Genomic DNA, 22,939 nt, shown 5'->3' on the forward strand with positions numbered 1-22,939 from the left:
CATGTAAATGTCTAAACACAATTTTAATAACTATAAATAATGTAGAGATTTATTTCTTATTCATTTTAACAAGCTTTTCACTGAACTATGATATGGTATTCTAATATTAATCTTAAAGATATCCCAGCATATTCTCAACTTAAAATTTAAAATATGGCTGGGTGCAGTGGCTCATGTCTGTAATCCCAACACTTTGGCAGGCCAAAGCCAGTGGATCACCTGAGGTCAGGAGTTCGAGACCAGCCTGGACAACATGGTGAAAACCCGTCTCTATGAAAAATACAAAAATTAGCTGGGTGTGGTGGCAGATGTCTGTAATCCCAGCTATTTGGGAAGGTGAGACAGGAGAATCACTTGAACCCGGGAGGTGGAGGTTGCAGTAAGCCGAGATCACACCACTGCACTCCAGCCTGGGTGACAGAGCAAGACTCCATTACACAAAACAAAACAAAACAAAAATTTAAAATACGATGAAATAAGGCCTTTCCTGTACTAAACTATGAGCAATTTATTTCACAAGAACTCTTGAGTCTCTGACCTATTCTAGAATCATCCAAAATTGAAATTATTATAAAGTGTTTTCTATGAATTTCCTACCCACCAGGCATCAAATGACAGTATCAATGGAACATGCACAACCGAAAAGGATCTCGGCCAGCACTGATGAGATCCTTCATAACTATAAAGCAACAGGACTGATGAACCACACAGTGAATCCAGCCACATAACTTCATAATCACCCGTGCAGAACACACTTCTGGAATGCTGTCCACTCGGCCCGGCACTCCCCTGAGGACTAGGGATAGAGAGTGAATCGTAGGGAGATGGTCTCCACCCTCACACACACTCATCCAAGAAGGCAAGACAGAGCCCACCATGCACACCGCAGGAGACAAACATGGAAACCCAAGTCCCATGGGGATAAGTGTGCGGGGTGGGGGCTGGGAATGCCTGGAGAAGGAGGCAAGTCCTCAGAGAAGACCACTGATGATAAAGTTGCTTTTCAGCAGAGACCTAAATGAAGTCAGGTGTGAGCCTTCTGGAAACTGGGAAAGGGTTCCAGGCAGAAGGAACAAGGGAGCAAGACCCTGACGGGAAGCAGATTGAGGTTTGAGAGAAAGGCTTGAAAGGATGGCAGTGACTCAGCAGGGGCCAGGGCACATTGGCCAGGCACCCATTTTAACTACTTTGGCTTATTCCAAGGGAGCTGAGAAGCCATTGGAGTCTGAGCAGAGTTGGGACGTTATTTGACTTCAATTTTAAAATGACTGCTCTGGCATCTGTTTGGAGACCAGGCTGGAAGGAGAAGCAGCAGAGAAGTGGGGAGGTGGAAGATCAGCTGGGGGCTGTTGCAGTAATCCAGGAAACAGCCCATGGTGGCTTGGGCCACGGTCCAAGCCATGGTCAGATTGTGGAAGGTGTTTTGAAGGAATTGTCTGCAGGATTTGCTGATGGGTAGGTAGCATGTGTGGTGTGAGAGCAAGAGAGGAGTCAAGATAACTTGGAGATGATGCTTGTGTCCATTTATGGAGGTGATGATGACTGAAGCAAAAGAAGGATCACACATTCATATTTGGCATTATGAAGCAGGAGACACCATTAGGAACTATGGGGAAGTCAGGGTGGCAGCTAGAGGTTTAATTTTGGGGATCAAGGGTAAAGTTGGAGCTAAAGCTATACATTTTGGAATTATCAGCATATGGTGAGTATTTAAGTCAATGATGCAAGGATAAGACTACCTACGGAGGGAATACAGACTGGGAAAAAAGAAACAAAGGGGGAGAAGGGGTCTAAGACTAAGCCCCAGGGAATCACAACGTTTAGACTGAGTTCTGGGCTGGGAGTTAAAGAAGAACCACAAGATCATATAATATCATGAAGTATCCTAAGTATGAACTGAAGGCTTATCAGCTGTCAACATAGTAGACTGGCTGTCAAAGGATGGCTTTGCTGTATAATTGTTTTATTTTTAATCTAGTATCTCAAATAAATAAATTTAAATAAATTGCTCTGTAAATTTTAAATTACCACACTCATCTGCATTATCATTACTGCTCCTATAGTCTCTATTAGGTTAACCACAGTTGGTGGCTGTTCAAGGATTTACTCCAATAATGATTATGTTTCCTTTATTTTAAAATGCACATTTTTCCCACATTTTAACATCCCTGAAATCACAATGTATCATACAATTGACAGCATCTTAGAACTATAATTTTTTAAAAATTTAAATTTTAGATTCAGGAGGTACACGTGCTTGTTTGTTTCATGGATATTACATGCGTAATTGTGGGGGTTGGGCTTCTAATGTACCCATCACCCTAACACTGACATTTATGATCAGAACTGATGCTATTTTTTCCTTCTTAGAGGAATACACAAAAAAGATACATCATATAATCTGTGACATCTCAGCTCTGATCAAATAAAATATGTATTTCTAAAGTCACAGCTCTGTTCTATTGTCTTTGGTTGATGTACAAGTAGAAGAGTTGGTCTCTGCACAGCTGCCCTCTGGGGCTAGTGTCTACTGGGATGATGAAGAGTCAAGGGTAGGAAGGAGGCAGCGCCAAGGAGCCCCTTGTGGGCAAGCCTCTTGACAGTCACCGTATTTTGCCCAGGGCTTGCTATTGATTAGCTCTGGGTGTCATACACCTCCAGTGACTTTTGCCTTAGCAAGAAGACAGATACAGTTGGAAACTTACACAAGGGCTTGCTCTGGTTTCATTCTCCAGGCATTCTTTTCCCCTGGAGTCATACATCCCTGAAGAATAGAAGCCGTGTCTCTATTACCTTTTAATCCCCAGAACTGAGCACAATGCATAAATATAGCTGGTGCTCAATAACCATTTTATTTAAATTGAAACCCAACTCCCCAGTATTTGGAAAGACTTGTGGCCTACAACCTCAGAGGAAATGTACAACAGATTCCCTCCCTGGGCTGCGGTAGTTGAAGATCACCGACTAACTACGGTCACATAAGGTATCATGTCTGAGTGCCCAGTACTAGATCCTGGTGTAGTCTCCATGGAAACATAGAGAGGAGCGCTTGTATCCTTGCAGAGAAACAACAAATGCATCCTTTATAATGATAATAAAATGCAGCATTTATAGAGAGGATAATCACCTGTGTTATGAAACAGGCAATTTAATAACTCTGTCTGATAAAAACGCAAAGACAACTGTGATGCTGTATTTTACTTCTGGGGGTGTCGGCATCTGAGTTCACGGGCAGTGGTGTGAGCAGCAAGAATGAATCTTCTTCATCTCCTTGTCAACCTGTTATATGCTCTCTTGCTGCTTACTATGCCGTTTTGTCTTTTTCTCCTCATTATATTCCCCAGCTCATACATCCTAACCTACTATTCCACTTATTTCTTCCTTTACATCATGACCTGTAGTCTATATTCCTCACAAGAAGGTCCTCAAGGAATTACAAAGGACTTTTAGAAATAAAGACATAAAATATTTTTTACAGTTCCTGCGGAAGGCTTTTTGTGAAGATTGTGCTTTACATGTATTAAAAACACCTCTGAGAGTAGCCATAAAAGTAAATTTGAAAATGCATTTGAAATGTAAATAGTGTTTGCAGCACTCAGGTGAGGCTGCTTCAGGTCACATGTAGCAAGAGCTCTGCTTAAGTCTTGAGTTATCTTTTCCTTCCAGTTTCCTGAATTATGTGACCTCTGAGAGGCACTCTGAGTCCTAAATGGGTAGTACTCGGCAGTGACTACGATTCCTAAACAATTCCTGTCCTCTCTTTCACTCCAGGATCTTCCAAGCCTGCAGCCCCTGGCTGCACTCTGGTGCCACTAGAAACTGTGGGCCATGAAGGAGAGATGCTGGCCTGGGTTCGTACTTGGCCACCCAAGAGAAGTAGGATGTAGTGCTATCTAACAATGTCTCTCCAACAAGGAGTTCTTGAGTCTCTTTTAATCAGGGACCCACTACATTAATTTGCATAATCTGATCTGGAGTTCAATAGATCAATGATTCAAGGTAAAGAAAGCTCCTGCAGCAGTTCCTAGCCCAGCCATTTCCTAGCCAGCTAAAATGCCTTGGAGCTCAGGTCAGCAAACTGGCTCTGATCTAAGAATGGTTTTTACTTTTTCAAATGGTTGGGAAAAAATTTCAAAGAATACTATTTCATGATGACAGAAAATAATATAAAATTCAAATGTCAGTGTCTGTAAGTAAAGTCTGATTGGAACTCAGCAGCCTCACTCATTCGTTCATGGACTGTCTAGGGCTCCTTTTGTGCTGCGACAGCGTGGTTGAGTAGCTGGGACAGAGACCCTATGGCCTGCAAAATCCAAAATACATAATATTATCTGGCTCTCTGCAGGAAAAGCCTGCAGACCCTTGCCTTAGATTGGCAGGCCTAGTCAAAGGCTGGCCTGTTTTGGGGACTTTCCAGCAATCTGGTTTCATGTAGGGTGCTGCTGTGAGACATGCTGATTGAATTCTGAAGGACAGGGTGAGACACAAGCAGGGAATAACATTCTGAGAAAAAAAGTTGGCTCTGTCAGACTACAGGGATGAGAAAAAAACAGCTCCTTGGTGGTGTAATTAGTAGTTTAAGTAGCTTTGTCTGCAATGATGCTAGAGTAATCTGCGGTCTTTCATCATGTTCAAGGAGAATGCACAAAACCACTCAGCTCACTATAATTGCAAATAGCCCTTAATGAATATATATTTGCTTTGGCTCCTCTGCTCTATTTTACATCAATTCTTGTGATTTTCCAAGTCATAAAATGCCCCAGATGCCTTTCACTAAGGCATTTTCACCTGGATAAAAAGATGTAAACAGATTAGACCATTTCTAGGTGAGTTATCCAGGAAACAGGGGTGATACAAGTGGATTATCTATTTTCCGATCTGGAAAAGTAGGAGTGATATAGAAGAGAATCAATAGTTCTCTACAATGAAATCTTAGCCTTGGAGAAGTGTTTGGTGAGGGGGGTGAAGATGGGGGAAGTGGCATTGCGAGAGATGCAGTTACTCACTGATGCCTTGCATGGTATCACATGATGTCACATGACACTGTATGATATCACAAATAGAAATGCGGACTCTGATGAGCTAGAACTGAGTGTCGGCTTCTCCGTTGCCATGCAGCCCAAGGTAAACCACTGACTGCTGCAAGCCTTGGTTTCCTTGTCTGTGAAGTGGTAGCACGAAGCCAGCACTGCTGTGACCTCCCAATGAGGTAGACGGAGCAAGGGTGCCTTCTATGCTGGCAGCTGGTGCTCACCTCGGCAGCACACACACTGCACTGGTGGATGGGAACTTCTATGACTGACGCCAAATAGCACACTGAAATTTGAACACAGTGTTTATGATCCTGAGGTTGAAATTTTAAAAAATTTCTCAATGGCAAGCATCAACCTCAGGACACTAAGTGGAGAAAGTGAGATGTTATTACCAAATCTCAAGCTTGACTAACATTAAGGTGCTTGACTTGAATCAGTGTTTCTAAAAGAAAATGAAAACTTCTCCTTCACTGTGACTCACAAATAACCAGTAAACAAGAATAATATGTTATAGAGGTGAAACCAGCTACTCATGGACTCAAATTTTCAGTTGTACTGAAGTGAACTGGGCAAAAAATCTTTTAAGAACTGCCTCCAGGAGTGTTGGCTATTTTGTAAATAGTCAAGGATGATGGTTTTCAGACTGTCTAGATAACCTTAACCTCACCATGAAATGCAAATTATTTGCTTTAAATGGCAAAAAGTAGAAAAGCTCTATTTTGAATGGTATTTTGTTTTTAAAATACTCTTACTCTTTAAAGTAAGAGTCAAGAAATAAAAGACATTTATTTGGGCTTAGAACACAATTTATCTGAGATTTTATGGTAATAACAATACTGAATCACTTTTTTTTTTTTTTTTTTTTTTTTTTTTTTTTGGTGAACCACAGGCCCATAAGATCCTGGCTCTAATTCTGGCTTTACCATTCCTAGCTGTATGAGAATTGGAAAATTCCTTAATTTCTCTGAGGCTCTTCATTTTCTTCTATACAATGGGGACAAGTGTAATAATGGTATTAACAAAGTGGATGTAAACATGAAATAAGATAATAAGTGTAAAGCTCTTACCACAAATTAAGAGCATAAAAAGTTATCAGAAATGGTCATGTATCCTTGGTTATAAATACAGGTCATATATCAATTCTGGCATTTATTTAAGCAAAAAACCTTTAAATTCCACTCTTATTTTGGTGCCTGATTTTTTTTTTTTTTTTTTTTTGAGACAGAGTCTTGCTCTCTCACCCAGACTGGAGTGCAGCAGCACAATCTCAGCTCACTGCACCTCCCGGGTTCAAGCAATTCTCCTGCCTCAACCTCCCGAGTAGCTGGGGTTACAGGTGTGCACCACCATGCCTGGCTAATTTTTTTGTATTTTTAATAGAGATGGGGTTTCACCACATTGCCCAGGCTAGTCTTGAACTCCTGAGCTCAGGCAATCCACGCACCTTGGCCTCCCAAAGTGCGGAGATTACAGGCATGAGCCGCTGTGCCCAGCCTAGGTGCCTGATTTTATTTTTAAAAATTAATTTTCAGGCATGGCAACAAATAAAGAAAAAACACACCCATTTCACGATGCTTATTGGTGACCCCCAGGAGAAGTGAATTGAGCTATTTGAGGGAAGGACAGACACACACACGCACATGCATGTGTGTGCAGGTGCACATGTCTCTAAACATAGTATAAATAGATTATGCCAACCAGCACAGCTCCAGATGAGAGTGTCTGATGCCACAGCGGCACATCATGAGCAGTCACCCTTCACTCAACTTCTAGCTTGAATAGAGGACAGAGATTTCAGGAGCATCGCCAAGTGATGGGTTTGGGCCTGGCAGATGTGATTCTGAGTAGCTACTGCAGCTTCGGTGCCTATAGGACTAATACTGCAGAGATACAGTGTTTTATCTTTCAAAGCCAGTACATTCCAGGGAGGCTGTATCCTGGGGCTGCTAAAGACGCCTGCAAGACTGGCCTGGAAGAAATCCTGGGAGGGTCTGCTTCAGGCCACTGAGCTAGGCTGGAAACACCTGGGACAGCGCGCCTCTGACCCCTGAGCCACACTCGGGAGGAACCCCACACTCTGGCAACAAGGACTGGGAATGTCCTAGTTAGGCCTCCCTCCCTCCACCACAGCCTCGGAAGGTACTTCCCGCTTGGGCTCTTTCTTGGCAAGCTGGAGTTTCAAGTCTTTTTTTTTTTTTTTTTTTTTTTAAACACCAACCTAGACATCTCTAGACAGTACAAAAGTACTGGAAAATGGGGAAGCAAGTTTTAATAATAGGTACCTTTGGTTTATAATAGAACCACCCCCCCCCCTTTTTTTTTTTTAAGAAACAGGATTTAAAGAAAAAATGTTTTCAGTTCAGAGCCAGCTTTTTTTTTTTTTTTTTTTTTTTTTTTTTTTGAGATGGAGTCTCACTCTGTCACCCAGGCTGGAGTGCAGTGGCACGATCTCAGCTCACTGCAAGCTCCGCCTCCTGGGTTAACACCATTCTCCTGCCTCAGCCCCCCCAGGAGCTGGGACTACAGGCGCCTGCCACCAGCCTGGCTACCTTTTTTTTATTTTTAGTAGAGACGGGGTTTCACCGTGTTAGCCAGGATGGTCTCGATCTCCTGACCTCATGATCTGCCCGCCTCAGCGTCCCAAAGTGCTGGGATTACAGGCATGAGCCACCGTGCCCTGGCCAGAGCCAGCCATTTTTAAGTGGGACAATTCCAGTACAATTGGCCTTGTTGCTGGGCAAAGACACTAGGATTCATTGTGCTATTCTAAATAAACTTTTCGATCAAGAGATGGAAATGCACAACACATCATAAAGGATGTGAAGGAACATTTCCCCCTTTCTCCTTAATTAGAGCACTTGGTATTTGTGATGAATTAGGCTGACTCGGTAACCTACAGGACATAAATCTGCAGAACAATTCTATTTTCCAATTGCTAGCTAGGTTAACACGCCTTAATAAACAAATAAATATCTCCATATGGACTATTATCCAAAGCAATTGTGAATCCTTGCAGTACGGGGCAGCGTGTGGTGGTGACATCCTGTGAATGGCCGAGTTCTGAGGCCGTCCTCGAGCGTCCATTTGAGTAGTGGCCTAAATGAGGGGTGCCCTTCACGGATGGAATAAGGTAACATTTTGATTAATGCAATGAGCATGCTGCTGAATGTTACAGTCAGTATTAAAATGGCATGTGCTAATTTAAAATCTTAGTTGTCATTAGATTAGAGTGCAAAGGAGAGCCACCTTTTGAGAAGACTTACTTCATCTCAGGGGGCAGAAACAAGCCTGTCTCTGTTTGCCACTGCAGGTGTCTGGCCAACAATGCTTGGGCTCTGAAAACATCCTGAAATACATATATATATATATATATATATATATATATATATATATATATATATATATTTTTTTTTTTTTTTCTTTTCCTAAAACAACATGGAAAGGTACTAAGCAGCTTACTTGTGGAAATGTATAAAACTAAATCAAAGACTTTAATACAACTGCAAAAAGTCACAAAGTGGAAAAAGGGCAGAATTGAAAAGCAATGTGATTCATGTCTGGTAATAGGTTTTTGAGTTTTTAAAATTTTTTAAATTTTTTATTTTTTGAGACAGAGTCTTGCTCTGTTGCCCAGGCTAGAGTGCAGTGGCACAGTCTCTGCTCACTGTAACCTCTACCGCCTGGGCTCAAGTGATTCTCCTGCCTCAGCCTCCCCAGTAGCTGGAATTACAGGCACCTGCCACCACGCCCAGTGAATTTTTGTATTTTGAGTAGAGACAGGGTTTTTGCCATGTTGGCCAGGCTGATCTTGAACTCCTGACCTCAACTGACCTGCCCACCTGTGCCTCCCAAAGTGCTGGGATTACAGGCCTAAGCGACTGCACCCAGCCTTGTTAATAGGTTTTTAAAGATGGGTATGCTTTTGTGGCCAAAATGCAAAAGACGTATTTTTGTCAGCAACTAAATATTATTTGGAATTTCTTCTCATGATCTCTAGAAAATACTTGATCAGGAAAAATAACTTAAGTTATCATTTTTACCTTTTTCCAATTGCAACTCTTTTTAAAGAGTCCAAGTAAATCTTTTTTTTTTTTCTCCTGATTGTCTTTGGAAGTATTGATCCAGAAATACTTCATTTCAATGGTTACAAGTAACAATAAATTTAAAATAGCATCTGATTTCCTACAATGCTCATTTCTGTATTTATTTGAAAATGAGACTTGCAGGGAGCCATTATCCACACTGTGCTTTGACGCCAGGTGGCTTCGCTCCTGGTTCTGATGGGCAGCTCAAGTGGCGCTGGAGCTTTTGCTGGCCACACACTCACTGGAGGACCCTGTGTCAGACAGTGCATGGCCGATGACACAGCTGTGGTCAGGACCTGCCGCTGCCCTTTGGAGCTCACAGTCCCAAGGGGTAGGCAGATATGTGTGGCCAGATAATGTACTAAGTCACACTGTGTTCACCTGAAGTTCTCGTTCTTCATGCCAAAGGGCATAGAGCCCTTTGTACCTGTGCAGAGGACGTCTGCAATGCCAAGAGCAAAGGGCTCCTGCAGATAGACCAGGGACCGCCTCCTGGGTTCTGTGAAAGCCGCAGTTCCCCAAGTCTCCTGGACTCCTGAGAGGAAAGAGAGAGTCAGGGACGAGTGGCTGTGAGGAGAAGAGAGAGGACAGGGTAAAGACGGCAGATACCAAAAGAGGAAGAAAGGACCAGCGCTCTGCACGCACTGGGCTCAGCTCCCTGGAAGCCCCCATGGGAGGTGGCCAGGTGTCCACAGGGAGGGCTGCCCAATGGGCCCCACGAGGCAGCTCCACTGGGCATGGCAGCAGTGGAGCAACCACTTGGGAACACACAGGTGTGGAAAAGGGCAACATCCAGAGATTTTTCGGATTCCATAGAGGCCTCCCTGAGGCTTGGGTGATGCCGGGGAGGAAAAGAGAGCCGGGAATGCTGAGATGGAATTTGCTGGTCAGCCAAGAGTCAGATTTAATTTGATTTTAAGAAACTAAAGAAGTATGGCATTTCTTGCACATTTAAGTTTGTGGTTTAAATTTTGAACTCACCAAAACATGTACAGAAATGGTTAGGGTGCATTGTGAGGACTGAGGAACAAGACTACCCTGGGCAGAGGCAGGAGTGAGATCGGAGCTGGGGAAAGGCCTCCTGTGGAGGGGCTGCGGGGAGCAGGCTCTTGAGGGTAGAGTGCAAGGGGGTTGGGTGGAGAAAGATGGGGGGCATTCTCAGGCACTGCGTTCAGGAGAAGGGCCCTGGAGGTGAAACAAACAGCTTCTCTTTTGTCTTCTGTGGTTTCTCAGCCTTTCATTCGGAAACACTTGGCAACATGGGAGGGAGCAGAGGGCCGCTCTGCAAGACGCGAGGCCTGGTGGGAAGCCAGGCGAGAGGAGCAGAACATGGCCACAGCATGAAGAACCATCCCTGCACCACACAGTAGAGGGTGAGCAGATGCCTGGATGCACCCCAATCCCCCAGCAAAGCCCTGAGCTGCTTTGAGCCTCAGTTACCTCGGTGGCCCAATGGAGACTGCACTGTCTCCCGGCAAGGCTGCTGGGCAGCTCACGGAAAGGACAACTGTAAGATACAGGTGTTTTCTGCCTGGCGGTGGTGAGGGCTCCTCACATTTTTCTTTTATCCTAAAAGCAACAAGGAGCAGCAGCAGTTTTTAGGGAGGAGCATGCATGGCACGACCTACGTGCCCTTTACTCATCTGGCAAGGGCCCAAGCTGAGTGAAATCTGACATCGTAGTAGAGCAGGTCCTTTGGGCCTATGAGGAGGCAGAAGGGAAGGAAGAAGGACGGCTTCCCTGGTGTTGACTCAGCAATAAAGCTTTCACCTGCAGAGAAGGGTCGGGATGCTGACAGCAGCCCACTGATTGCAACTCAGTCTCTCTTGTTCCAGTTTCCCAGACGCGTCTGGGTCCTGGGAAAAGAGGACTGGAGTGTCAAAATGGGGAAGAATCATTTCATTCTAATCTGCACTCGATCTTAGCCAAAAGTCTGAGAAGCAATTTCCATTCTAATTGTAAAACAAGTGGCAAGAGCTAGGCATCTCTGGGACTCCTTTAACAGAAGACGAACAAAGGGGAAGACCATTGCCTCTTTCTCTCAATCCCTTTCCTCTCCCCTCAGCTCAGAGCTCCAGGTGGCTCCAGCAGCTCTGACATCACCTGCACCCATAGCGCTTGACAGGGCAGCACCTGAACGCTTGTAAGTCAGACCTGACAGGAGCACCTGTGCTGCTTGGCAGGGTGGTGTGGGGCGAACTGGAGTGAATCTGTCCTTGGGTACATGGAAAACATACTCTAAGGACTCCTGAAATTGAAGAAGGCTTACTGCTGTGACCATGGCCATATTGATAGCTGTAGGCAGGCTGTTGGGGTGTGGTGAGACGGGCATTATAAGACAGGGATAGCAGTGGCACAGAAGGATTGATGTGGACAAAGAGCCACAGCAAAAACACCAGCGAGAAGACAGCTGCCATGATTTAAATGAGAGAATATAGGGCTCTGAAATTTAAAAACTGACAAAGGTGACACAAATTCTTCACTTAAATTTCATATCCCTGAATTATCTGCATAAAACAAAGGGTAAAAGGGAGAAGGTGGATTTTAATCTTAGCATGGAAACACCCACATTTAAATGTAAAGATGTGAATATATTCTAAGTATTTTAAAAAGATATATTCAAAATAATTAAAATGTTTCTCATTTTAAAGAAATAAGATGTCAGATGAAAGATGTTGGACAGTTATTCTTGAAAGTGGTCTAAGATTGTTTACAAATCATGTCTGCTTGGAGAAAACATTTTTCAAAAAAATTTATTTAAAAAAAATTTTCATTTTAAGGCTGTTAAAAAAATTTATTTATTATTACAACTTTTTTTTGTAGAGATGAGGGTCTTACCATGTTGCCCAGGCTGGTCTCAAGCAATCCTCCCACCTTGGCCTCTCAAAGTGCTGGGATTACACGTGTGAGTTACCCACCGTGCCCAATCTCAAAAAAATATTTAATAAGAGGAAAATCCATGTATTGGCTCCTATCAATCACTGCCCACTATTCAGCCTTTCTCCCCAATTGACTAAGAAATTTATGTCACATGATAGAAGTGAAGAAAAATTAAGTATATTCACGTTATATCTAAAGCTTTGTATAATATCTAATTATTCCAACACCAATAAAATCTGTTATCACCTATTAGAGGGAAAAAATGTCCACTATTTAGAAAATGTATAGAGAAATGACCTGGAAATAATGACCATTCTAAAGACACATGTAAATATCTATAGTTTTAAAGCATATTTTAAAATGAGATAATTTAACAAATAAGAGTTACAATGATAAAACAACAATTATTTCACTAAAGTCTATATTTTAGGTCATAGAAAGTGCTTTTTTAAAAGGAAAAAAAAAAAAACATTCCTGTGCAGCATTTTACAGATTTCAAAGCATCATTAAACAACTGAGAAGTGAATTTCTTTTCAGAACAGGAGAGGCCATGCATCTCTTACACCACATCTCCATCTATTTCATCAGCAGTTGTGTTAAAATTCCTAGATGAGGGATCAGAAAGCTTTGGAACTTGAAATCAGTTTGTCCTCAAGACTGGTGGTTAACATGATATCATTGACTATTGGAAACAACTGAAAAACTCTTTTTTTTCCTATTAGAACATCGAATACTTCTACAGAATATTTCTATTCTATGTTCTAATGTAAAAATATTCATTTTTTAAATTTTTTAATTCTTTTAAGGCTTTAAATTTTGACAGGTTTGCCAGTACTCTTGCTCGGCAGTTTTTTCTACTTCATCTGTTAGTCTGCCCTCCTCCCTGTCTGGAATGATCTGCATAGAAAGGATTGTGCAAATTCTCATCGGCCACAAACGTTCTGCTCACATGTACCAGATGACCCTAGTGCCTTGCAAGAAACTTGAGACCCATCGCATGATTTCTCCAGAATCAGATCCAACAGGATGCACTGCTCCTGCTGAACAACTAAGAAACGTTATTTTCAACCCCAGCTTGAAAACTTGATAGATAGTGTTTTCTTATTAGTAATGACCCACTGGCTAAGCCCTTTTCAGACATCTAACAGGTCATGAGTATGTGATTATCATGCTCAAATTTACACATATGAGGGGCCCTAGTATGGTTTCTCTCTTTCTATATAGTGCAAAAACCTAACGATTAAATATTGATTTAAAAGAGTGTTTGGAGCTCAGGCAGTAATTGTGCAGCCCGGTTCCTAACAGGTCACAGCCAAGTACGAGCCTGAGGCTCAGGGGCTGGGGACCCCTGATGTATACCACTGGCGAGGGACTCTAATAATGGGAAAGACTACACATGTATGATGGATATGAGGGCAAAGGGTATATGGGGTATCTCTGTACCTTCCTCTCAACTTTGCTGTGAACCCAAAACTGCTGTAACAAATTAAGGTCTTAAAATACATATATTACTTCTCTTCATCACTGAGGTTTCTGATACCCCCTTAAATTTTGTACTCCAGGCCAATGCCTCAGCAACCTCACCCCGGTCCCAGGCCTGTGGCTCATCATATGTTTCCAAATCACCGATGGGTTTTGCTTCTAGTGACTTATGTAAATATAAGCATTATTTTACAATGTTTTTAAATTTAATGACAAAAATACTGCACACTCATAAAAAGTAAAAAGTAGAAAACAGCAAAAAAAAAAAAAAAAAAGAGTGGGTAAATTGTTGACTGGTCATGATTTTGTAGAAAATAGTAAATTTGAGAGCATAAGAAGTTTGAGATCAGCTTTGAAGTTCCTGAGTTCAGGTCATTAGCATTTAATTATCAATGCCACCTTTCAGCCATGGTTCTCCATTTTTATAAGTGGATGCCTAGAGCACTTGGTGGGATTTCAGCAATACTTTCATAGCTCTCCAGGTGATGTCAATGGCTAGGGTAAATGGTGTGGGTGGCATGATACAGAACATCTGACTTTCCCCTCATTCTTCCCATATGTTTACATCCTACTTATCTACATAGATCAACCAATAAACCCTTTGCGTAAAAATTACATACACACTATAATGCTCTTATAAATCTTCACACTTTGTTGACACTTAGTAAATATTAAAAACCATAAATCACAGAAAAAATATTATTAAGTTTTGTTATTATGGGTCCAATCTACCCAGTGGCTTACCATGATCTACGGAATAAATTTCATACTCCTTAGATTTGAATTAAACATCCCCAGAGTCTGTTGCCAAGATTTTCCAGCTTCTTTCAAACTACTTCCTATCCATACACAGGGCTCCAGTGAGTTAGGAATTATATTCTCCGAGAGGACCCTGGAATGTCTGCCTTCGTATCTTTGCTAGTTTTGTTCCTTTGACTTCAAACACACTTAGCCCAGACTCCCTATTCAAAGCAAACCACAGCCATCTCCTTAGGAAACTTTCTCCATTCCCCACAAGGGCGTGCCTCCATGGCCCCACACTGCACACATCCCTACAGTACCAGGAACCACGCCTGACCTTGGAGCTGGAGTTGTTTGTTACTGGCTAGTTTCCTCCAGGACAAAGTAAACTCACTGAAGACAGAGAAGGTTTCTTATAGCTTCTTCCTTGCTGTGCACTTTATAGAGAATGAAAAAGTGTTCCATTGAATGGAATAGAATCAAGAAGTCATGTTTGGGTAGTAGAAATGGAATGGACAATCCTCTTTTTTAAAGAATACAACACTGGCCAGTCACGGTGGCTCATGCCTGTAATCCCAGCACTTTGGGAGGCCAAGGCGGGCAGACTGCCTGAGGTCAGGAGTTCGAGACTAGTCTGGCCAACATGGTGAAACTCTGTCTCTACTAAAAATACAAAAAAATTGGCCAGGCTTGGTGGCATGTGCCTGTAATCCCAGCTACTCGGGAGGCTGAGACAGGGGAATTGCTTGAACCAGGGAGGTGGAGGTTGCAGTGAGCCGAGATCGCACCACTGCATTCCAGCCTGGGAGACAGAGAGAGACTCCATCTCAAAAAAAAAAAAAAAAAAAAAAAAAAAGAATACAACATTAACAAAATAAGATATATCTTTTTTTTTAAATTAAAAAAAAATGTATGTTTTGAGATAGAGTCTCTGTCACCCAGGCTGGAGTGCAGTGGCACCATCTCGGCTCACTGCAACCTCTGCCTCCTGGGTTCAAGCAATTTTTCTGCCTCAGCTTCCTGAGTAGCTGGGACTGCAGGCGCGAACCACCACGCCCGGCTAATTTTTGTATTTTTAATAGAGACGGGGTGTCACCATATTGGCCAGGCTGGTCTCGAACTGCTAGACCTGATGATCCGCCTGCCTCAGCCTCTCAAAGTGCTGGGATTACAGGTTTGAGCCACCGCGCCGGGCCAAGATATATCTATTAAAAATATATTAAACATGTTTTCCTGTCTTTAGAGTCATATCCTGTTGTGTCTGTCCTTTCAAATGGAAACCTTGACACAGCTGCAGTACACTCTGCTTTAATTACTTACTTAATTTGAAGAATGTTAAAGGTAAAATTGTAATAAGAAATTGTTTCCCAACATACTTTCCTTAGGTTCCCTGCTACCTCTTTAGTTTTGTTTTTTTCTTTTCATTCCATATCTCCAATCCACACAGAATGAATTTTATTTCCTTCCCTCGTCAGTCTTTCAACCTCCCCCGCAATTCTCAACCCTGCAATTCAACACTCTGCTCCCAAACCAGCCTTCTTGTCACTTCCAACTCATCTTCTTATTTAAGCTGCATTGCTTTTCCGTGAATTAGACTGGATCTTAAGTGAAGGAGACACAAACCAACTGCAAATGATGAATAAATACCATCAGTGGGGACTTAGTGAATGGCTAGGTCATTTTCACCCCCAGTGCCAGGACCATCATGGGAAAGTCGTCCTTTTGGCTGTTCCGGAAGAAGTGGCAGCATAGTGACTTTCTCCTTTCCCTGTGGATAGCATGCAACAGGACCAAAGGGAGTATTCTGGGCTCCCAAAACATGGGGAAGAGCCTATGCTCTCATGTTTGGACATTCCTAGCAACGGGTTCCATTAAAAAGCTGTCCTAAACTCTAGGCTTATCAAGACTTTTACATAAAAAGACTATTGCATTTTTAAAACATAAATTTCATTCCTTTATGAACTTCAAATTTGCTGCTACTAAAAACATGATTGCTCTTGTTTCCATGGGACTTTTCTTCTAGTGAGTCTTTGTGGAATGCCTGTGATGGCCAGGTACTAGTATAGCGGCGCAAATACAACAGCAACTAGTCAGACACACCTACACTCAAGGAATTTACATTTGTGTTAGTGAAACAGGCAATAAAGAAGGGAATGACAAGCCCACCTTTTTGCTCTTGTTCACCACTCAGTGAAGGTCCATGGGCTGAGGTGGGCTGTGGGTCTCTTTGTCTGGTGCACCTTGTTCTGAAGCAAGGGCATCCCAACAGACAACAGCTGCCCTTGTGTGGCCCAAGGCTCAATATTGTCCTTGACGTGGACATGGAAGGAAACACAGAAATTTCAACCTCTGCTTCCGAGAAATGATTGCCAATTCATTCAGAGGTTAGTCTGCAGAGCTGACTGAGATCACCAAGGGAAACTGGAAGCTTATTGCCTTCCAACTTTATTTCTTTGAGTGCAAAGCCTATGAAGATAATCTGTTCTCAGTCAAAGAGAAATTTAATATAGCACTCCCTGATTTCTTCTATTTAATTCATAGTCTCCTGGCAATCCCTAAAGTACATTCACTGTGTGTTCAAGTTTTGCCTTGTTGTTTGCTTGCATCAAAGAGAGAATTAAATTGTACACACACACACACACACACACACACACACACACACACACACACACACAAAGTGAACCCAGATCCCGGTTCCCTCAAGGCTGGCCTAAAAGTTATTGTTTTCATATCAGGTTTAATCAACAGCTTCTGTCATATTCCATATGCCACCTCGTTCTATTGCTAACACTTTTATTTTCTAATGATTAACCTTAACACACACAATTTTGCCTTAGCTTAGCCATTTTAGTTATATAATCATTCTGAAGGAAAAGGTCAAATTTATGAATTTCTAGACTGTTCAGCACCCTGTAGGGACTGTCAAAACCTTTTAAAATAAAAGTGATTATTTTCCATGCCAAGAAATCGCTGGGTCATTGGGAACAGTGGGCGCATCTTGCTTCCCATGCCAGCATGCCCTGAGTGTCCCTGGCCAATGCATTTCTAGGGGTTTCCATGCTAGATGTCCTCTTTAGACATAAACAGTTTTCACGCCCAGCTTAATCATTTATCCGAGGGTTCTTTAAAATGTGAAAGTCATTCTATAAAGAAAAATTTTTTTTTTTGAGACAAGAGTTTTGCTGTTTTTGCCCAGGCTGGAGTACAGTGGCGCGATCTTGGCTCACTGCAACCTCTGCCTCCCAGGTTCAAGTGATTCTCCTACCTCAACTGCCCAAGTAGCTGGGATTACATACAGGTGCCACCACACCTGGCTAATTTTGTATTTTTAGTAGAGATGGGATTTCACCATGTTGGCCAGGCTGGTCTCGAGCTCCTGACCTCAAGGGATACACGCCCGCCTCGGCCTCCCAAAGTGCTGGGATTACAGACATGACACACCGCAGCTGGCCAGAATTTTAAAATTTAATTTAGAATTAAATGATTAAGAAAAATAAATTTTGCAGCTGAAGATGGAAATTCCATGCTCTAACTTCCCCATGCCACCAGTGATTACACTGTAAGGTGGATCCTAAAACATGAGGTCATTATAGGGAGACACCACTCTGTGCCTTGGTGTGAGTCCCCCACTCTCTCTACCAGACTTTTTACTGTCTTGTCTTTGCCTTTCCATTCAGTCAGGGCTGTCCTGGCAATGGAAGGCACTGCTGCGCACCCTCCTTACACTCTGGCCATTGAGAGTTTGGTGTGTAAAGGACAGCAGGGATTTACAATCCCACAGACACAGAGTTTGAATTGGAACTTTCCTCTAATGTCAGCAGGCTGAGCTCCATTATGGACACATCCCAGAGTCCTTACAAGAGGAAGAATCTGGAAGATGCTGGAATGGCTTGGACTTAAAGAGCCTTCTAACCTGACTCACTGTTAACTTCCTGTGATGGTTAATTTTATACATCCACTTGACAAAATCATGGGATGCCCAGATATCTGGCTAAACATTATTTCTGGTTGTGTCCGTGAGGGTGTTTCTGGATTAGCATTTGAGTTGAGAAAAGCAGATGGCCTCCCCAGAATGGATGGGCAGCATCCCATCACTAAGGACCCGAACAGAACAAAAAGGCAGAGGAACTCTGAATTTTCCCTCCGCCTGACCTCTTGAGCTGGGACATCAATCCTCTCCTGCCCTCAGCACTCCTAGTTCTTAGGCCTCAGACTCTGACTGGAATGCACACCATTGGCTCTCCAGCTCCCAGGCCTTCAAACGGCATCAGCAGCTTTCGTATGACTCCAGCTTGCAGATGGCAGATTGTGGGACTTTTCAGCCTCCATAAACGCAAGAACCAATTTCTCATAATAAATTTCTATTAATCTATCTATCTGTGTATCGATCGATTGAACAATCCATCCATCCATCCATCCATCCATCCATCCATCCATCCATCCATCCAACCATCCGTCCATCCATCCGTCCTCCTTTCCTTTCCATCCATCCATCCATCCATCCATCCATCCATCCACCCACCCCTATCCTATTCCTATCTATCCATCTATCCACCTATTCCTCAATCCATCTATCTTTCCTATTGGTTCTGTTTCTCCAGAGAGCCTTAACATACTGCTTTAGAAACCTCCATCTCTTCCACATACTGCAGTCTACCAGTTGGATCTTTTGTAGGCTTCAACCCTAACCTCTCACTTCCTGAGTTCAGTGCCTGGAAAAACAGCCTCTTGGGTCTAATCTTTTCTTCCGAAGCAAGGCCCCTGCAGGCAGCTCTCACCCGGGTTTGCCAGGCTTCATGGCAGGTTCAGTTCTACTTTTACTATATCTCTAACCCATAAGTTCTGCTTTCCAAGACTTTTTCTAAAATTGGGGATCAAGAAGTGCTGGGGCTGAAAGCCTAACAAATATCTAGGAAGGAGAATCTACTTAACATGGGGAATAGGACTTTCTGCATCTCTGTTTTTGAATAGAGATTATCTGGAGCCTGTCTAGGTTATCTGCTCATGCTGAAAAAGGCTTCTCTAACACATGTATTTTCTCCACAAGGCACATCATAGCCTTCTTGCACTTAGGAATACTAGACAGCACTATGCTTGGGGGGCATTTTAAACAGTAAGATCACCAACAAAAAGCACAAAAATGTAAAAACCACGGTACTAAATAGGCCATGAAAAGGACATCCTTGTTCATAGCATGAGAGCTGAAACAAGAAGGCAGAGCATTGCTCTTTCATCCACAGCAGACAGCAAGAGTGTTGGGTGAGTCAAACTTTGTTGCTCTGCAAATGTCGATGAAGATCTTAAAGGCGTCTGGAATACTGATTTTGGGGTTACAAATAAGACTTAGCGAGTGGGCAAACAGCAAAGACAGAAACTGTGATGACACTGTCATCACACACTTTGAATACAATGTTTTCTGAGTTTGCCGATTTGTGGACTATCCTGAATTTGTGCTCAATTTTTATCTCTCTCCAACTGCTTATGTTTTGCCTCTCTCTCCATGTCAACAGATTACACTCTATAAGGGAAAATGGAAATAAAGATGCAGGCGAAACTTGAATATCGGTGTGGGTTTTGCATGGCAAACACTGACGCCAAATTTGCCTCTACTCTGAATGCTCAAGTTGTGGGAGCGCTACTTTAAGATGGAAATATGTGCTCTAAGGGAAATAATAACCAGAATAACTTTAGTTTTAAAATTATATACCAAGAGGAAAAAAAATAGTAAAAACCCAACTCCTTCTTACTAAGTTTTTAAAGAAACACTCAAAAAAGTAAAATTAAACCCCCAGAGTATAATTCCCATTCTAATGACCACTGAGCACGTCATTGCTTTTGGTTGATAAAATAAGCACATGTTCTTCTCTTTACCTCGAAAACTTGAATGATTTCAAAGACAACAAGTAGGCAGTAATTTAAAGTCTTTTTTTGTGAGCTTGCCATTCTGCTCTTCGTGGGGATCTTTGTGATGGGAAACTGTAAATACAGTTTTAGAAGTAAAAGCTTTCATCTTAATGACTATAGGATTAGAAAAAGATAAGAAGCTACTATAGGAAAAGTGGGTGGGCTGGGCACAGTGGCTTACGCCTGCAATCCCAGCACTGGGAGGCTGAGGGGGGCGGATCATTTGAGGTCGAGAATTTGAGACCAGCCTGGCCAACATGTTGAAAGTGTGTCTGCTATAAAAACAAACAAAACAAACAAACAAACGAACAAACAAAACCAACCCCCCCACAAAAATTAGCTGGCATGGTAGCGCACACCTGTAATCCCAGCTACTTGGGAGGCTGAGGCATGAGGATTGCTTGAACCTGAGAGGCTGAGGTTGCAGTGAGCAGAGATCATACCACTGCACTCTAACCTGGGCAACAGAGTGAGACTCTGTCTCAAAAAAAAAAAAAAAAAAGAAAAAAGTGGATGGATATTACCACATATTTTTAAATAAAATTTAGCAATCCTGGTAATTTTGGGTTCTTGATTTTAAACACAATATATTTCTGATTATAAAAATATTTTTCTGATCATAAAAATAGATGTCTTTAGAATTAAAAAAACACATAAACATAAAAAGGAGATAATTTAAAAAGCTTATAAAACATAGAAGAAAAACTAGCCCTAAATATTTCTGAAAACCAATATAATGTCATTTTAAATGGCACACAGGGCAATACCAACATAGATCTCTTTGTTCGAAAGATAGATTTTTTCTGTCTTTTAATTTATCTAAAAATAAATCATGGTGTATTTTTTTCCCTCCATTCTTTACAGGAGTATGGGTGTTTTATCTTATCAGATTTCCTTCATGGGGAAAATGTATGTGACTTAGTCACCCAGCCAGGTGATGGTTGACTACAGGTGGACCAAGGAATGAAAGTTGGCAAGTTTGGGCACTTTTTTTATATTCAATTCTCAGGAAAGAGATACCCAAAATTATGTGTCTCTGCTGAACAATACATACAATTATGACCAGCAATAGGAGTTGTGGAGGCCATAGCTCTGGGGTTCAAAATGATCCTGAAATAAAGTATTAGAAACCCTCTCATTTCTTTCTAATATTGGAAAAGTCACATGTCTTTTAAAATTAACAACCACATTATCATGAGCAATTCTAATTTTCCCCAATGTAATCATCACGAAAACATTTGTGATTGACAGGTTTTCTACCCCAGATGTAAATTTTTGGAAATACTAATATACAATTACTTTTCATAATGGGTGCACAGCTACTAAATGATGTATGGCCAATTCCCAAAGTTTCAAATGGATAAATATTAGTCTAATGTGCTCAATCAATGCAGAGAAATAGCTCTAAGCCCTTTTCCTGCAAGGGAAAATATTTACCGTATATCACAGATAGATTGGCCACAGGCACTAAGCAGTGATGGAGAAGCCTAGAAATCCTTGTAAATGTCCTTGTACTTCAGTGAAGGACATCCTCAAAAGACAGAAAGGAAAAAGAAAAGAAAACTCTGAATGGTGTTACCTCAAGCATTCTCTAAAACACAGCACTTAGAATCAGACCTGCATCAGCACGTTGCTGCTTGACACACGAAAGCCCCTTTGCATTTAACAACAACACAACAAAGGTTACAGAGAACTTTTGATATCCTTCATTTACCAGATTATTTCTTCCATCCATAGTTTACAGCACTGAATTAGAGATTGTTAATAGTAATAATAATAAGAAAAAAAGATTTTGACCATGGACTATGATGTAACCCATCATAGTGGATCAACTGTATACTGAGTCTGACTAGAAAAAAATCAAAACAGTAAAATACCAATCAGATGCACTTCACATAATGTTGTCCTTTTAAATTTTGAATTGTGGTACAATATACATAACGTAAATACCCTTTGGGGTTTTTTTTTAAGCAATTAGGCACACAGTGTGCAATTTATAACTGCTATGAAATAACCCTACCCCTCTTTATTTGGGCAAAGGTCACTATGGATTTTTTTTTTAATTTTTAACTGTAGAAAAGGATGGAATTTCCCACCTTTCCTTAAATAAGAAATTCCAGACAATCACATCATGTCCATTACATCCCAATACTCGGTTTTGACTAAGAACTGGATGCACATCTATCTAACTGTCCAAATCCCTTTTTGGATTCTCAAATAGTGAATCTTCTTGGAATCAGTGGTTAAAGTTCCCACTTTTTCACCTGGACCGTATGGGTGACAGACTCCCTGTTTGCTAACATGAGGATGACAGTTACAGATTTCAATGCAAACTAAGGAAGAATTCTCAGCTGAGTTGTGCTGTGTAGAAAACAGAATTGGCAGCTTTGTGAAGTGGGGGCTCCCAGTACTTAGAAGTCCCGAACTGTGGCTTGACACTCACTGCGGGATCAGAATCTCCTGGTGGGCATTCACTAAACTCAGATGCCCAGACCTCATCATTAATTGTCCTCGGTGGGACCCAGGCATCGGCATTTCTTAAAAACCTCCCCAGGCAATTCCAATCTACATTGAAGCCTGCCAATCCCTGTGTAGTCACAGGCTACAGGCTCCCAGGTCAACCCAGGTGGCCTCTGACATCCCTACCAGCCCCAGGACTGTGGACTAGGACACGGTTTTGCCTAATGACTGATTATATCCTGCCTTGGTTAAGGGCAATAGAATTGAGAAGATTAGCACTGCCCCCAACTGGCTACAAAAGGAATGGAAAAGCTCAAAGGAAGAACCATGGAGGTAGAATATACCGGGAGCCAA

The 22,939-nt window shown here is 42.0% G+C and overlaps 1 protein-coding gene across 6 annotated transcripts in view, besides 2 other annotated features; it reads right to left on the minus strand.

Annotated features, from left to right (window-relative positions):
- PRKN (parkin RBR E3 ubiquitin protein ligase) overlaps positions 1-22,939 on the minus strand; it is a 1,380,350-nt gene that overhangs the window by 324,922 nt on the left and 1,032,489 nt on the right. The gene's annotated exons all lie outside the window — the stretch shown is intronic.
- Positions 9,277-9,856: an enhancer, noted in NCBI's record as "H3K27ac-H3K4me1 hESC enhancer chr6:162102647-162103226 (GRCh37/hg19 assembly coordinates)". NCBI's record gives its function as "activates a minimal SCP1, AML or CMV promoter by ChIP-STARR-seq in naive H9 embryonic stem cells {active_cell/tissue: H9 hESC(naive)}" and the evidence as "EXISTENCE:reporter gene assay evidence [ECO:0000049][PMID:30033119]".
- Positions 9,857-10,434: an enhancer, noted in NCBI's record as "H3K27ac-H3K4me1 hESC enhancer chr6:162103227-162103804 (GRCh37/hg19 assembly coordinates)". NCBI's record gives its function as "activates a minimal SCP1, AML or CMV promoter by ChIP-STARR-seq in naive H9 embryonic stem cells {active_cell/tissue: H9 hESC(naive)}" and the evidence as "EXISTENCE:reporter gene assay evidence [ECO:0000049][PMID:30033119]".

This window comes from Homo sapiens, chromosome 6, assembly GCF_000001405.40.
Source record: "Homo sapiens chromosome 6, GRCh38.p14 Primary Assembly".
NCBI lineage: Eukaryota > Metazoa > Chordata > Mammalia > Primates > Hominidae > Homo > Homo sapiens.